Here is a 17,026-nt window from a genome sequence, read left to right as displayed (position 1 = left end):
GGCTTGGGTTTAATCCCAGCTCTGCCATTTCTGGCCATGCAACTCACGCTTCCTTGGCTGTGAACCAGGGACTGCAACAGTATATATCTCACGGGCTGCTGTGAGGGTGAAGTGAGTTCAGCTCAGTGAAGTGTAGAGAGCAGGGCCTGGCGCATAGGATGTGCCCAGCCATGTCAGCTAATATACTAGAGAGGGCCCTGGCTGTGGATACAAAGAGATCTAGATTCTAAAGGTAACCTGAGGCTAATCCTGGCTATGTGATTTTATACTCTAAGGCCAGTTTCCTCACCTGTAAAATGGGGGAAGGATAAAATGAGGGTAGTCAAGAAAATCAGAGATGATGCACATACCATGCATAATGCCTGCCACACGGGTGCTTCTTAAGTGACCAGGTGGTTTATCAGTGTGATCACTGACAGAACATGTAATGTGAAACAGAGCACATGAGCACAGGCTATGTAGAACGGTGCTTGACAGGGGGCCTTACATAATAAAGCCAACCGCCTGGGTTTGAAACCCAGCTCTGCCACTTATGAGCTGTAGGACTTCAACAAGCTGCTCAGTCTCTCTGTGACTCAATTTTCTTCTCTGTAAAATGGGGACAGTAATAGCACGTATCCTTCAAAGGGCTATAGTAAGAATGAGCTGAGCAAATGCACGAGAAAGCACCAGGCACAGAGCCTGGCCCATCCTGAGTGGCCACTCACGGGCAGTGGGTGGGGCAGTGGGTGGGGCTATCACAGCATCAGAAGCAGCTTGCCATGAACAGAGCAGGATGAAAGGCATCTCCGTCCCCCGCCCCGCTACGATGGCTCCATTCTCCAGCAGCTCCAGGGGCTTCATGACCTGAATGCAGTAAACCAAAGCCCAGGAAAGACTGGGCCAGCCCTGTGCCAGGAATCCTGGGCCCCGAGACACTAGTTTCTGTTTTTGTTTTTGCTTTACTGAAATAGAGAATCTCAAGCTCAGAGGGAAGCAGTTGGTGGAGCTGGGCCTTGGACCAGCTCTGGGAGACTGACTCAGGAACGCCTGCTATTAACCTCCATGGCAACTGGCGGTGTGGGGGACGGGGTTTTAGAGTAAGGCAGCCCTAGGTTCAGATTCCAGCTGCCCACCTCACAGGCGCAGATCCCCCATCACCTCCCACTACCCTAGCAGGTGCCTGGCCTCCTTAGTTGGGAGTGCAGCCCACCCCACCTGGCCTAGTCTCTCCAAAGACAGTCATTCTCTTCCCTGAGCCGAGACCTTCCAAGGGGTCTGGAAGACTTCCATTCTCAGGCGGGAGCCAAGGGTACAAGATCCACTCCTAAAATGCTGACTAGTCCTGTCCTGTGGAATTTGACTTGGCGGACCTTGAATTGCATTACTGCTGCTCGCTCAATCCTAAGTAAATGGGTACACTTCCCTGAACCTCAGTTTCCCCACCTGCAACCAGGAAGTCAGTGAGAAGAGCAGGCCTTGGTGGCACAGGTGGGCTGAGCACTGGACCTGGAGTTAGGAGACAAGTTCCAGCTCCCCTTGCCTCTGCCCCTTCACCTCTCTGAGCGTCACCCACCACAGCTGCAAAATGCAGATCAGTCATGAATGCCCTGACTGTTCCAAGCACCCTCAGGAGACCCAGGGCACTGGTGTGCAGGAGCTTTTCACAATGGGAGCCTAGTGCAAGCACAGAAGGGGGCTACTGCTACTTCTCTGAGGAGGGAGAGGGTTTATTTCAAAAGGCATCACAGCCTTAATGAGAAAGGACATGACATGCTACTGGTGGGATCTTGACATCAACCAGGGAATGGACTTGCCTGGTTACTGGGTTTCCTCCAGTGTGTGACTTTGGGCCACTCACACATCGGGTTTCAGTTTCTACACCTGTGAAATGGGAAACAAAAAGCCCTCTTGCTATGAGAAATCAGTAAGAATACAGCACAGGAAGTGCTTAGGCAAGTCACTAGCACACAGCTGGGGCACAATGCCTGCCCCTCTGCAAAAGGAGCAAACTTTGGGGAAGCAAGACCACCCCACCCAGAGGGTATAATTCAGAAGGTCTGGGGTGGAGTCCAAGAATCTGCATTTTATCAGGTGTCCTAGGCAATTCCTCCTCATACAGGTCCTCCTCTGCCCTGGGTTTCTAGTACAAGAGTAGGGATTTAGTCATAGCCACTTAGTTTCCTGACGAAATGTGGTGAAGTTGGAAAGAGGGAAAGAAAGCACAAACGGGAGTAAGAAGCAGAGGGGGTGGGGCTGGGAACAATCTATTAATCAATCTCCTCCCAAGCCAGAAACAGTAATTGTTGAGGCTCACACATCCTTCACCTGCTAACAATCTGCAGCTGCAATACAACGTTCTGATTATGAATGTCAAAAAGGCAGAGCATGAAATTAACTTCCCCTTAGTCATTGGGCACAGGGAGACACTACACTAATTCACTGCCCTTGGTATGAAAACTTCCCATGACAACGTCGCATCAAATTAGGGCCCATGCTACCCTGGTGCCATCTCTATCTCTCCCCAGTGCACTCTTTTACAATCAGGCCCAGCCTGAAAACAAGGGCCCTGCTTGTTCCAGAAAAGTTAGGGCGACAGGCAGGAGGTGATGGTTAACTGGGACAGTAGGGAGAAGGGCTGCTCTGGTCCCCCGTGGGGGCTGCCCACTGAAAAGTGGAGGTGGGATCTCATTGTGCTAAGGAGTAACTCACTCGGCAGAGCATCTGATGCAGTAATGTACCACTAGCCCCACCTGAGAGATGGGAAAACTGAGGGGGGCGGCAGAAGGGTGGAGGTGGCAAAAACCTTCTCAGGCTGCCTTTTGCGCAACCTCTAAAAAGTACAGTCTCAGGCTGCCCACCAGTCAGTCCATCCCTCTTAAAAAATTTAAGCACACTCAGTTATTCACAGGCCAACTCTAAATGCCTCTGGCACAGGGCGCAAAGTGCTCTGTTAGTGCCTCCAAGCAGCCCACCGCCAAGGCACTGTCATCAGCTGAGGTCTACAAGGGGATAACCCTAGGGGTCTGCAGAACGCAGGCCTCCTAAGCCAACACAGGGAGGGGAGGAAGGGAGGTCTTACTCCTTGGGCAACCCTCAAGATGGGGCCTGACCTCCAGCCTTGGGATCACTTCTTACCCCTCCCCCAATTCTCAGGCAGGGTGCCAGGAACCTTTGTGGGTGGGGATGGACCCTGTTTCCCTCTCCCTCCCGTAGGTTTTCACCCCATCGCCCCTGTGGCCCAGAGGGGATATCTGCTGCACGCTGGTGGCTTCCACAAGGACGTGCATGTGTGCATGCCCAGGTGGTAGGTGGCATGGCCTGTATACACAAGGGAGGACAGCCACATGCTCACAGAGGACAGAGACGACCTCTATCTCAGGAGGGGATGGTAACACAGGCATGCCCCAGCTGGGAGGGGAAACTCCCCTATCATTTCCATCACTAAAATCTCCTGCGAGTTTCCAGCCAGCCCTTTGAGGTAGGTGGGCAGGTACAATCACTCCTCTTGATGGATGAGTGGAAGGAGGGGCAGAGAGGAACCACGGCTTGCCCATAGTCACACAGAGGCAGGGCCTGACCAAGAGCCCAAGGAAGGGGTGTGCAAGCAAGCTCTCACATCACACATGGGCCACAGGTGACTCCACCGCGAACTCAGAGAGAAGTGGAGGGGAGGGAGTTGGGCCCTTGGTGGAGAGTTGGCTGTGAGAAGCTGCCTCAGGCTCCCAGGCTCTGACTGGGGGGTGGCTTCCCTGCAGCGATAGCCCACAGGCCCCTGGAGGGGTGGGAAAACAGAGTGGCCAGTGACTGTCCCTCCCACAGCCCAAGCCTTGGGCATGTCACCCGGCTGCTCTGAGGTTGGTGCAGCCCCACCTCAGCCCAGGCTTGCTATCCACACATTCTCACCCCATCCCCAGGCAGATGCTGCCCTGGACACACCTCGCAGATGGATGCACTGATGGCCAAGAGACTAGAACCACCAGAGGTTCTTCGTGCAAGGGGAGCATTCACTCACCTACAGCCAATCATCACAAGGGAGCGGACTGGCAGCTCAGAGCAGAGAGAAGCTAAGCACACCCTGCCACCCTGGAAGGAGTCACCAAGCCGACTGGGGGAGCTGGATGCTTTTCCCTCTTGCCTTTTTGGTCTCTTATGATCTCCTCCAGTTTTGTTCTGTGGCCTTCTAAAATAGCCATTAATTAGAGCCTGGTAATTAACTTACTGGTTCAAGTAATATTTTGCAAAGGAATTCCATTAAAGAGTCGATTTGCATATTCTAATATGGGGCCTGGAAATAGGCAGGGCTACCTGGAGGAGAATGAAAGCAGTCCCATGGCACCTGTCAGGCCTGGCACCTGGGCCTGGGCTCTGCCTGGTAACCGAAGGTGAGAGGGGAGGCAAAGAGTTGCTCTCTGGGAAGTTCTCCCCAAGAAGGTGGGGAGCTTATTCACACACCGGCCAGCTCAGTGTCCATGCACCCAGACAGAAAGTGCACACATGCACACAAGTATGCACGTGAGTGCTCACAGAACACACTATACACATGGGCACAACAGGGTATACGTACACAGACATGTACAAACAACTGGCAGATGCATACCCAAGAAGAAAACACACGATAATAACAATAGTAGCCAACACTTAACCTGAACACATAGATTGAATCATATGCAATTGCCTGTATTTGGCCTCCCAAAACAGCAACTTTATACAGTCTCACCCCATATGATGTACCAGGCACTGTTCCAAATACTTCACCTGTATTAACTCAATTAAATGCACAGACATGTATAAGGACATTAACATATAATGTACACACATCTTCATGAGGACAGGTGCACACTTGCAACACATACAAAAGACGTACACAGACAAACATATGCTTGTGCAAAGAAAGGCTTCTCCAGCCTTTGAAACCCCAGCCTTGCTGATCCCATTCTCACTAGCTAATTTCCACCGTTCCTAAAAACATTGCCCAGCTCAGATCTTGGGAAGGTACACAAGGGAGCTCCAGATCTAAAGGAGAGTAATAAAAATGAGAAAGCAAAAAATAAATTGATTCTTCTATACGTCCAGGTCGTATTCTGTGGCTCTCCCCTTCCTCTCTAGAGATGAGACTCAGAATCATGTGCTCCTGGGCCGGTCAGCCCTGCCCCCAAAGGTGCCCATGGGGCTCAAGTACAATGCTGCAGTTGAGAGGGGATCTGGTTCCAATGCCTGGCTTCTGCATAGGCCCCAGCTCCATGCCTTTGACTGTGTGCCTCAGTTTTCCTGGCCATAGAGCAGCCCTTTCACTGCCTACCTACCCTACAGGGCAGAAGACCTCTTAAAGTGCTGTGTAAATACAGGGCATCCTTATGAATGATAGGATTAGGAATTAAACCTGATTTCCTTATGGAGAGGAGAGGACGGGAGGAAGGTGGAAAGAAGAAGGGAGGGGGAGGAGGAGAGGACAGCCAGGTGAGCCTTCCTTACAGGTAATTAATGAATTCCTTGTCATACCTCTTGGAAGGCAGAGGCTCATTTAACGTGTAGGATCCACCTACATGGGACCTCTCAGAGCTGAGGAAGACCAAACAGGGCAACCAAGAATCCTGCAAGAGGCTTGTCAGAACACTCAGGCAAAGGACAGGAATAGACAAGTCTCAAAAGAAGCACTGCCACTGGCCATGAAACTCAGGAAAGCACTATTCGATCACCAACAAGCAAATGAATGCAAATAACAAAAAAATGCCCTTTTTCTGCCTATCCAAACGATAAAGACTGCTTTAATGATGACATCCAATGTTTTGAAGGGTGTGAGGAAACAGGTAAGCACTCTCAAAAATCACTGGGGAGGGGTATGAATTATTACAGGATTTTGGTGGGTGACATTTTTCTAAGAAAAATCTCAAACTCTTCATATTTTTAGACCTAGTAATTCTGTTTCTAAGACTTTATCCTTTGGGAAAAATCAGAAATGTAGGCAAAGATAAATATTCAAGGATTTAAATCCCAGTGTCATTTTTAATAAAGAAAACCTAGACATAACCTAAATGCCTAAATGATTAAAAACAAGTATGACCCAAACGGAAGATGGAACAATGAACTTTTAAAACTGATTATTAAAACACACATGAGAGCTTTGCTTTCCCAGGTGTAAGCAGGAATCCCTAGGAAAACATCCTGTGCTCTAGGTAATAATGGCTGTTTCTTAAGTTTAAGGCAATAATGACCCATCTTAAGCTCGAATCACCTTACCAGGCACAGCAACATCTATTATCTCTTGAACCTCAGGATGAGGCCACATGATTGCTTATTATTCCCACACTGTGGATGAGAAAACTGAGGCTTACCAAGACGAGGTGACTTAACCCTACCAATATTAACTGAAAACCTATGACATATTAATCTAACCTCTTTCACACATTATTTAATTAAATTTTAGAAACATTTAAGAAATGTGCAAGACCCAGTGTTAAATGCTAAGAAAACAGCACTGAACCAGAAAATTTCTATGAAAAGTGTGCTAAATGTATTAATGTTAATGTCTTCAACAACATGATTATCATGATGCCCATTCTGCAGATGAGCAAACTGAGGCTGCAAAAGGTTACGTGACTTGCCCCAGGAATGCTTGGCTTCAAATCCAAAGATCACATACATCCCATGACTCCTGGCAATTGTCTAAACTGCACTATCATCTTGACATCACCACACTAGACAGACTAGTCCCCAAAAAAAGGACCAGGCCCTCCCTGTCTATAGTAGGGGAGGGAACAAGGGCAAGAAACACCAGACTTGGGTGCCCAGTCCTGCCTGCACTTACTGTCAGCAACTAAAGCAGGAAAATAGACCCTAACTTCCATTTCCCCTGTTCCTCATCAACCTTCCTCACTCTCCCTCCTCCAGGGACTGTCTCACCACAAGGGGCAGAATTGATTCCTGCCTACCCAGGTCCAGGTGAGGGTCCCTGGAAGCTGCCATCCCCAACATCCAAGTACTGTATCTCCTTCCCTAGTCCCTTATCACTTGGAATTCCACCATTAGTAACTTTCAGGTGTGGGAACGCCAGCCAGCACACACATACTCTGGAAGGGGGAATCGATCCCTAACTCCACACATAGCAGCCTTGCCTACCTGCCCCAGAGCTGCCTGCATTTATGAGCTAAGCTCCGCACCAGGATGACTGGGAAGAGCTTGATGGGGGTACAGACACTTTAGAGTAACTACTGTGGTAAGTTTAGACAGGTAGCATGCCAAAGGAAGCATATTCCCAGCAGGTGTGGAGGGCTAGAGTCACCCAGAAACAGCATCAGGAGAGAGAAGGAATGAGGAAAGCATAATATTGCCAACTGACCCTCCTAGCTCCTCAGTAACATTAATAAATAAATGAATGACTTGGAAATTATCCTCTGGGCTGACAGAACCACATCCTCTATATCACTTTTACCAACATTAAAACAGCCCTGTAAATGAAGCAGCAGCATTTCCAGTGTGCAAAATGAAAATGCTTTTGCCGGCACACCTTTCACCTGGAAAGCGCTCCAAGCAGCATGTGTTTGTTACCCAGGAGAAATGATCACCTGTCCTTGGTGCTTACTGCCAAAGCTTCTGAAGAAGAAATGAGTGTCTGAGGGACCCAGAGACTGTGGAGACCAGCTGGCAACCTCCCCTGAGGCCGTTTCAGAAGAATAAGTCCGAAGGCTCAAGCCTGTCCTACAGCCCCCAGCCCCCAGAGCCCAGCTGTGCCAACCAAGCACTGCCTGGCCTGACCCCAGCCTCACAACCAGATAGCAACCCTCAATCCCAACCAGCCAGGTTCGGCATCCCCACCCCTGAAACCGACTCCTTTTCCAGGGAGCCAAAAAAATCCCAGCACAGAACCAACTGGTTTCCAACCTCCAGATGAGAGAATTCCAGCGCAAAAAAACCACCTCCCCAACACAGCAGCTTGCGGAGCACGCAGACAGCATTCAACAAAGCCTCTTCAGCAGCCATATAAACCAGATAGATTCATCCAAAGTCAGAACTCAAGTGGCCGCCCCAGAGTGCCCTGTGCCGCTCATCTACACGGGAAGGCCATGGGGACCAGGACTCCCGCTCGACACCCTAGAAGCCCCCACCGTCCTTCCCACTCGTGTCCCACCCACTCACTGAGGCTAGCGTCTTGGCACTTACCCTCTCCCCAGCCAGAGGCATGGCAGCCAGTGGGGGTCCCATGGAGCCAGGACACAACCCTTCCTTGCTGCTAAACCAAGCCAAAGACAGCCCATCCTGCCCTCCCAGCCTTCAACATCACAACCACACCACATCAGAGCAGGGAGAGGCACTGCTCCACTCATCCAGGTTTGGCCATGAGCTGGGGGGCGGGCGGGGTCACCATAGTTGTTTTTACTCACTGAACTCCAAATAGGATGACTCCAGGGACAGCCCCAGAGAAATTTCTGCCCATCCATCCCAGCAGCAGCCGACGAATCTGTTCCTAAGCAAAGCAGCAAATCAGGAGACCCCAGTCCTGGGAAAGCCTATTTCAGCTCCAAGGCTGGGTAGAGAGATTTCAAACCCAGTCTTTCTGCCTGTCCATGGGAAATCTAGGCTCCCTTCCTGTGCCAGAGAGGCCACCAAGCCATATTTTGTTTATAGAAAATTAATAAGACAATTCCACACCGCTGCCAGTGACATTCTGCTCCAACCGCTACCGTTTCCTACTGTTTCCAGAAACAGGCTTGTAGTTTCACTCCCAACCCCCACTCTGCGCCCCTTCAGCATGTGGCAAGGCTGACCTGAGGCCAAGTGGGGCAGGACCCGCACGAGGTCGTCTTGGCCATGCCCCGACCTCTGGCTAGGGTGGCCAGCCAGCACTTGCCGGCTTCTAGGTACAGGCTTCCCGCTGTAAGGAGGTAAACATGACATGCATGCCGCCTGCTCCCGGGAGAGCAGACACACTCAGAAGCCGGACTGCCTGTTGTCTCTCCTGCTCCCCGGACAACCACCACATGCACACAAAACGGGGTACGTACACAAGCCCCCGCATGCGGGTGCAGAGGGTCCTGACCCCCGCCAAGGAAAGCGCGGAGAAGGGCATGTTCCTGGGGAAGACAGCCGAAGGCAGGGGCCCGGTGGAGGGAGGAAGGCAGCAAACCGGGTGGCCTGCCGCCCAGACAATAACAAAGATGGGAAGCGAGATTTTCAAAGACGCAGTGACTGCACCCAGCGCTGAGCTCTGGCCTGGCTGCATCTTCCTGCCAGGGCACGCCTGGTCCCCTGGGGCACCAGGGCCATCAGAGAAAGGCTGAGGGTCCCGCCTCAGGCTGGGCTTGGCAGCTGGGGCAGGAAACCAGCTGCAGGCAGTGGTGAGGATGCACTGGAGAGCGCGGCTCTGGGACGATGGAAATTAAACGTCTAGCCATTCTACTGGGAGGTGGAAGTGTTACTCTCCAGGAAGATGCTAGGGGTCAGTTAAACAGTCACTCAACCTTGGGCAGGAGTTGGGCTGTAACTTGTACTCCTCTGCCCGCTAGAACCAAGGGGGAGGGGAGAGACATTTTCATGCTACCTACGCCTCCCCTACAGGGAGTGCCAACACGGACACAGCCCTACGAAGGCAGATGCCAGTGGTCTGAGACGTTCGGGCTGAATGCTGAAAAGGCTCCTCGGTGCCTGCCCGTACTTTCACCTCCACAGGCTGGGCAGGGACATGTTCTAACTGGCACTGGAATCCATCACCATGCCTGTGCCTAAGTGGAAAGGTGCCTGTGGCTGGCACCACTCGAGGAGGACCTGGGCCCTGAGAGGCTGTGTCCGCCCAGTGCCCCCTGGAGGACAGGATGGCTTGCCCTTGCGAGCTGAAGCCTGCTCCCTGGCCAGCGTCTCCCGGCAGGTTGAACCACCTCCTCCTCCCTCTCCCCTTCTGCCCCACCAGCCACCTCCCCGCGGAATTTCCACACCTGCTCCCGGCTGGCCCAGGAGAAGGAAACAGAAAGCAGGAGACACCCCTGAGAGTGGAGAGGTGAGGGAAGGAGAGAAGCAGCTGCCTAGGCTGGAGAGGAGATGGCCCTGGCTCCCCAGCCTCAGGCTGTGCCCCCAGCTCAGGGCCTGGGCACTGCCCGCTCTGCTAGCGCCAGCCCCCAGTGGAGCACGCGCCCTACTTAGAGCAGATGTGCCCCCTAAGTGGCCCAGCCCCCTGCTCCTCCCCTCCAGATGTTCACCCTTCCCCTCACCACGGGCAGCGCCCGGTCTCGGCCAAACCCGGCCGAAAATGCCTTTTGTATCTGATACCCAGGGGCTCCCAAGGCAGGGGGATGGGTCCTGGCGGCAGAGGCCCCACTTCCGTCCCCGGTTCGGGCACCGCACGGCCCGGGAAACAATGCCCACCTCGGACAGGCGAGGCAGGACTTCCCTGCGAGGGGACTTCGCGCCCGGCCTCGCCCGGGCCGCCGCGGGCACCCTCTGCTCTCCTCTCTTCTACTCACCTAACCCCGGAGGGAGGCACAGGGTCCTCCCCTCGGGCCCCCTAGTCCGGCCGAGGTGGCCCCATAAGTTCCCGGCGGGCGGCGTGGGGTCCCCCCACCGCCGTGTGGCTCGCCCCGGGCCGGGCTCGCGCTTTGTCCCCGCGTCCTCAGGGGCGCAGCCCGGGGCGGCGGCGCGGGGGACCGGGCGGCGGCGGCGGGCTCACCTCTCATTGTCCGCGGCGGCGGCGGCGGCGCTCCGGAACCCCGGCAGGATGTGGCGGAAGCTGTGGTTGCGGTCCAGCTTGGGCTGGCTCTTGGTGCGCTTGATGGAGCCCTTGAGGCGGCGGCTGAGGAAGCCCTGCGCACGGGGGGACAAGAGGGGGAAGGGGAGGCGGGGTTAGCGCGGCGGCGGCGGGCCGGGACCCGCGCGGGACCCGCACCCTTGCTGGGCGGCCGCGCGGCCGAGGGCGGGCCGGGCTCGGGCTCGGCCCCAGCAGCTCGCGGCCCGCGCCGCCCGCCCGCCGACCGAGCGCCGACGGCCCGGCCCGCGCAGCGCGGCCCAGCCCACCCCGCCCGCCACGTCGCCCCCGCCCCCTAAGCCGCTGTTGCCTTGGCGACGCCGAGCCGAGCCGCGCCGACCGCGGCCGAGGCTGCCCGAGCCCCCCGGGCGCCGGGGCGAGGGGGAGTACCGGGACGAGGGGGCGGGGCTGCGGAGGGGCGGAGACCCCCGGGGACCGCCAGGGCCGGCCGCCCCGCTCACCTCCCTGCCGCCTCCGAGCTTGTCCTCCCCGTGCGAGGTCACACCCCCCACACCCACCTGGAGGAATCCACGCCCCCCCACCCCGTCGGGGATTGACAAAGCGCCTTCCTCCGCTGCGAGGTCGCTGCTCTCCAGCCCTCGGTGGTACCGATGAGAGCGGGCGCGTGGTCGGCTGAGGCGCCGGCTGGCCTGCGCCTGGCAGTGCCCTGGCCACTTAGACCCCGATTCCGGGCGACTTTCCTTCCCAGAGCGGCAGTAGCTTGATGTCAGGGTGGGGCCCCTCCCCGGAACCGTTGTATGTACCCCAGCAAGGACAACCACCTTGCGGGACGGGATCCCTAGTGCTCAGCTCAGGGAGGGGCCCGAGGGGCTGAAGGGTTTGCTGAGTATCCCCATTAAAAGCTTCAAGATTTGGGGAACCTTATTCACGCCATTTATCCACCTAACAGGTTGCACTGACTGAAAACAGAGCTTAATCCCCCACCTCCCCCATCCCAAGAGCTCCTGGTCTAATGGCAGAGACAGAGGAGACAGGCGTTCAATACACACAGGTCAAACCAATCTTCCCTTTACAGGTGACGGGATAGATGTGGGGGCCCCAGGGGACACAGCCTGTGTCCTGCCGGGCTTGGAAACTACAGGCAGCTTGAGGGAGAGGAAAACTGGAGGAGGGGGAGTCCTCTAAAGAGGGGGGTGTTCTGGGGGCTCACCCACCCCAGTCTCAATTCCAGGTGGCAAGTGGGATATTAATTTAATTTGAGGTTAATGTACATAATCCAAATACCACATTCCATCCATCACAAAATAAAGGGTCAGTTTGGCAGCCCTCTCTGTGTTCAAGAGGAGCAGTGGATGTTTGGCACAGGCCCTGGGCTGTATCTGTCCATCTTCAACATGACAAGGTCAAACATGGGCTGTACAAGTCATCTCATGTCACCCGCACAGACAGAAAATGACAGAAAAACATTTGCTGCAAATGAAGAAGCTTGCTCAGACAGGTAAAGTGACTTACCCAAGGACACCCAGCTTCCGGGCCTGGCTAATTCAAGAGCTTTCAAGATTTCCCTTTTCCTATCTTTCTCCTTCTGCCTTTTCCTCCTTCCTCAGCCATTCATATCCACAGGAGACATACCCCTGTGGCCACCTGTTGGGATTCTGCGTGTCCTTCAAGGCCCAGCTGAAATGATACCTCACCAGAAGGCCATCCCAGGCAGTGGAGTCCAAATGCCTCTCACCTCTGCAGCCTGGAATTATCCATCAGGGTATTCTAATCAGCCGCCACAAATATCTCTTAGGTATTAGGGGCTGCAGGAGGGACCCTTCTCCAGAGGCATGACCCATAGACAAGGCAATGCTTAATGCAGAGGGACCCCAAACGGTGGCAGGTCAGGAGAGCACTAGGCTCTCCAGGACACATGGCATGGAGGCAGAGGCCTGCACCTCTGCGTGAGCTCTGAGCTCTCCCAAACTCTGCCTCTTGCCAGCTATAGGAGAGGGGGCTGCACCTGGCTAATTTGGATGGGTTCTCTTCTCCCAGGGGTTGTGGTCAAGCAAGTTATCCCAATGGGCTTGTACCTTTTCTTGGTTTTTATTTTCTACACTGATGAAAATTTCACAATTTTTGCAATCTTGAGGTATGAAGAACAAAGAAGCATGTTTCACAATTTATGTAGCTCATTCTGGAGCAATATTGATGGCTTTATCCTATTTCTGAGTTTAAACAAAAAAGTTTTCTCCCGTCTAGGAGGTTTGATGCACATGTGCCACTTCCTCTTCCCCACTCCACCCCCTGTGACTCTACTTAATGTTCCTCTGACAAGCAGCCTCCTCCTTAAAGCCTACTCAGAATGGTAACTCCCCCACCCAAACTGACAATGACCTTGGGGACTCCTAATACCCTGTCATATTCACTCTTTCACCTTAATGAGAGCCATTATGTGCTAGACACAGTGGCCAAGATAGCCATGAACATTATGGAGTGAGCAGTATATGGATATTCAAGAGGTCAGGGAGCTCAGATCATGGGAAAAGAGATTCTTCCAGGGAACAGAGAGTGTTCCCGTTGACCCACCCACCGATCACATCACACATCCACCTAGAGACCTGTGTCCCCCAGAGAACTCAGCTCAGGACCCTGCATATGACAGACTTAACAAATACTCATCATCTTGGAAAGCCACTGCCAGAAGGGGACTCAGATGCAAAGGCTGTATTACAGGGTGACTGGGGACCAGAGTAGGGAAGGCCCTTCCCCAAGATCACAAAGCAAGGTTAATCAAGGACCGTGGACTCCAGTCCTCTGCTCTGCTCTGCCCAGCCACACAGCTTGTTGCTCTCCTTCATGGGGGTGGAGGGCCAAGGGCGTCCTCTCCCTCTTCGCCAGATGAAGGGAGGCAAACCTTTTCTGCTGTCCCTTCAGAGGCAGCTCCTGGGACTTGATTTCTGGAGGCAGCTACAGCCCCTAACTTGGGAAGAGGGGCTGACTGGTCTTCAAGTCAGAAACTCTTATTCTAGACCCAAGACAACCTTTAATTGAGGGGCAGTGGGCAAATCATTCAGTCAAACAGGGTTCTTGATACCCACTTTCCGGGACCGCAGTGGAGCCCACTGACAGCCCAGTGGCTAAGAACCAAGTCAAACCCAGCTCCACAGACCCCTCACTGCAAGAGAAGACAGCTAAGGCCCCTTGCCTCTCTCTGAAGTGGGTGGGGGGCTGCAGTGAGGATTAAATTGGCAGATAAAAGTGGATAAAGTTGCCAGGCATGGTGGCTCACGCCTGTAATCCCAGCACTTTGGGAGGCTGAGGCGGGTGGATCACCTGAGGTCAGGAGTTCAAGACCAGCCTGGCCAAGATGGCAAAACCCCGTCTCTACTAAAAATACAAAAATTAGCCGGGCGTGGTGGCACGAGCCTGTAATCCCAGCTACTCGGGAGGCTGAGGCAGGAGAATTGCATGAACCCAGGAGGTGGAGGCTGCAGTGAGCCAAGTTTGGCCACTGCACTTCGGCCTGGGCAACAAAACAAGATTCCATCTCAAAAAAACAAAAAACAAAAACAAAAACGAAAAACTGATAAAGCTCTAGGCTCAGAGTGTAGCCGACAGTAAGTGCTCAACAAAAGCCATGTGCAATTCCCATATACATGTACAGGACTGTTAAAAACACTCCGTTTGTAGTGACATGTGTCGGGCCTAGCTCATCTGCAAAGATTATAGGTGGTCCCCATAATCACTCCCTTGCCTAGGGACAGACTATGACCCCCTAGCCACACCCACTAAGGCCTGGCTGTATCCCACTTCTCCTGCAGATGGCGCTGGACCACAGGAGCCCACGCTTGCTGACCATTCCCACTGGGCAGCTCTAGCCCCCTCACATCGCTTGGCCTCAAATCTTCATTCAGACAAGCTGTGGGCCGATTACTGGACCTCTCTGAACCTCAGTGTCCCTATGTGTAAAATAAACTGATGATGATACCTACTTTATGGGACCTGGGAAGGATGAAATGAGGTACAATGTCGCCAGAAAGACAGTAACTATTAAGCAACTACACAGAGTAGTAGGTTTATTGCAACCAATACTGATGTTGGCTGAGCACCACCACCTCTTTTTGCCCAAATGGATAAATGACAACCAAGGGTGGGAGTCAGTCTGGGCTCTCCAAGGAGGCTGTGGGCCGCCCGGCAGGGGGACAGGGACATGAATGAACATGCTTGCAAAATGATTCTGGAGCCGCAGAATGTCATCCAGTTTGGTAGTTTTGAACTCTCTTAAACAAGCACTTTTTTTTTTTCCTAAAGCAACCTCACTGAGACTCCCGATGCCCAAAGTGCACGGGGCAGGCAGGGCTGCTCAGGTGGAGGCCTCAGCTTTCATTCACTGGAGCAAGGACTGATGTCTAAAGCTCAGCAAGCAGCCTACACAGTCTGCAGGGACCCGCGGCTCCCTCCCCAGATGGGGCACTCTGCCTCTATTAAAGCAGCCCATGTCCCCATCTACTTGTCAGGCAGCTGTGCCACGACGCTGAGGTCAACCAAGGCCCCAGGGCTTTTGCACAAGGCTGCTGCACAAGGCTGCTGCCTGGTGCCACCCCCCCAGCTCATTCCCTGACGGCTGGGCGTGGATAGCTGTGTAGCCCCCGCCCCTCTCTGTGGATGGCCCATTGCCCATCTGGACACCCTTCCTATGCCAGCTGATCCCCTAGGCCCTAGGCTTCCATCATATCACTGAGCAAAGCACAGGGCAGTTTGAGTGGGGGTCAGAGGCCTGGGGGGTCTTTGGCTGGAAGGACCCAAGTTCTTAAGCAGCTCTACTACCCCAGGAGTAGAGCTACACCACCATCCTGACATCTGGCCCACAACCCTGCTGCTTCTCCAGAAGGTCCTGAACGACTGTCTCAAAGGCCTTTCAGAATTCAAGACACGTGATTTCTTCATTCACTCATTTCAATGAATTCCACATGATGATGATGATATATTACCAGCAATCAAGCTTCTGTTCTGACGAATCACTCCCACCCTAGGAGAGGATGCCTAGGAGCGCCCAATGCCTGTTATCAGGAATCCTTGGGAGGATAAGAGCTTCAGAATTCAGGATGTTTTGGATTTCCGGGTGGGGGAATGCAGGCTCAGAGAAGTTAAGTCACCTGCTGAAAGTGGCAGAGCTGGGACTGTAACCAAGAGAGTTCTGGCCCCTGGGATGGGCAGCGTGGGGACTCCCCCATATAGGGAAACAGATGGACAGCTCTGATCATCCTCCCCACACTCAGCCCCAGGCACTGTACTAGGCCTCAAGGACCAAAGCCAAGGCGGGAGGGAAGAAAGGGAGGCCCGCTCACTCCCTGAGTGCAGAGCTGTCCCACAGGGGCTCCCAGTGAAGACCTGGAGGCTTCCCACCCCCAGGGAGGGGAACCTTGCCCAGTGCTGTCCTTGTCTGTGCCACACTCCCAGCCGAGGAGGCAGCCCCTAGGGAACCAGGGATCTGCATTTCAGCACCGCCACCTGGACACCCGGGAGCCCCACGTCACCAATGGTCTCAAAGGCACTGCTTCTCAACTGAATACGAAGCACTGAGCAACATGCCTAGCACATAGTAGGTGCTCAATCAAGGGCGGGTTCCTTCCCCCAAGCCCAGCATCTATTTGTCCTTGCATTCTTCCTCCAGGCCTGTCTTCATCACCCTCTCCCCTTTCAACAGACTGACCTGGGCTGCTGCAGATGGGCATGTGGGCCTGGCAGAACTTTGTCACCCGTTAAGCTCTCAGCTGCCCACTGGGGAACCCCAAGACAGTACTCAGGATGGAGGCAGAACCCTGTGGGCCCTCCCTCCGCCAAGGCCCGGCTCCTCCCATGGCAGTTTCTAAGGCCCATCCCCAAAGAGAGAGCCTTGGAGAAGGGAGACTGTTTTGACAGGCATGTCTCTCAATATCTTTCTGGGGCTTTGCCCGAATGCCAAAAGCACATCTAAATAAACAGGAAAGGGAGGAGAAGATCCCATCCAGATCCTGCCACCTCTCTCGGCTCCAGGAGGGGAGAGATGCTGGGTGCATGAGCTGGCAGGCCGACCTGACACCGCGGCAGGCTGGTGGGGGCACTAGAAAAGGGCTGGGGGTGGTGGGGGTCCTGCTTCCAGAGTCACAGAGTGAGAGTCAGGAGGGCCCACAGAGGGCAGCCAGGCCAGTGACACTGAGGAGACATCTGAGGCCCAGAGGGCAGTGGGACCTGCCCAGCGTCACCAGGCGGAGCCATTAGAACCTGGGTCCCCTGCTCCTTGCCCAGTGCTCTTTGCATCTTCAGCATCCACGCTTCAAGAACCTCCCAGTCTGCCCACACTTCCTCTTTCTGGGCCACAGTCTTCCC

The 17,026-nt window shown here is 54.1% G+C and overlaps 1 protein-coding gene across 2 annotated transcripts in view, besides 2 other annotated features; it reads right to left on the bottom strand.

Moving 5' to 3' along the window:
- DAB2IP (DAB2 interacting protein) overlaps positions 1-17,026 on the bottom strand; it is a 218,457-nt gene that overhangs the window by 75,436 nt on the left and 125,995 nt on the right. For both annotated transcript variants that reach the window (NM_032552.4, NM_001395010.1), the window contains exon 3: positions 10,637-10,770. In NM_032552.4, the coding sequence (NP_115941.2) occupies positions 10,637-10,770 (134 nt within the window). The remainder of the gene's footprint in view (positions 1-10,636; positions 10,771-17,026) is intronic.
- Positions 2,688-3,487: an enhancer, noted in NCBI's record as "H3K4me1 hESC enhancer chr9:124468887-124469686 (GRCh37/hg19 assembly coordinates)". NCBI's record gives its function as "activates a minimal SCP1, AML or CMV promoter by ChIP-STARR-seq in naive H9 embryonic stem cells {active_cell/tissue: H9 hESC(naive)}" and the evidence as "EXISTENCE:reporter gene assay evidence [ECO:0000049][PMID:30033119]".
- Positions 10,549-10,628: a silencer, noted in NCBI's record as "silent region_20238". NCBI's record gives its function as "represses an Ori minimal core promoter by ATAC-STARR-seq in GM12878 lymphoblastoid cells {active_cell/tissue: GM12878}" and the evidence as "EXISTENCE:reporter gene assay evidence [ECO:0000049][PMID:35858748]".

The sequence above is a fragment of the Homo sapiens genome, chromosome 9, assembly GCF_000001405.40.
Source record: "Homo sapiens chromosome 9, GRCh38.p14 Primary Assembly".
Taxonomy (NCBI): Eukaryota; Metazoa; Chordata; class Mammalia; order Primates; family Hominidae; genus Homo; species Homo sapiens.
This window is presented reverse-complemented; position numbering and strand designations above follow the sequence as displayed.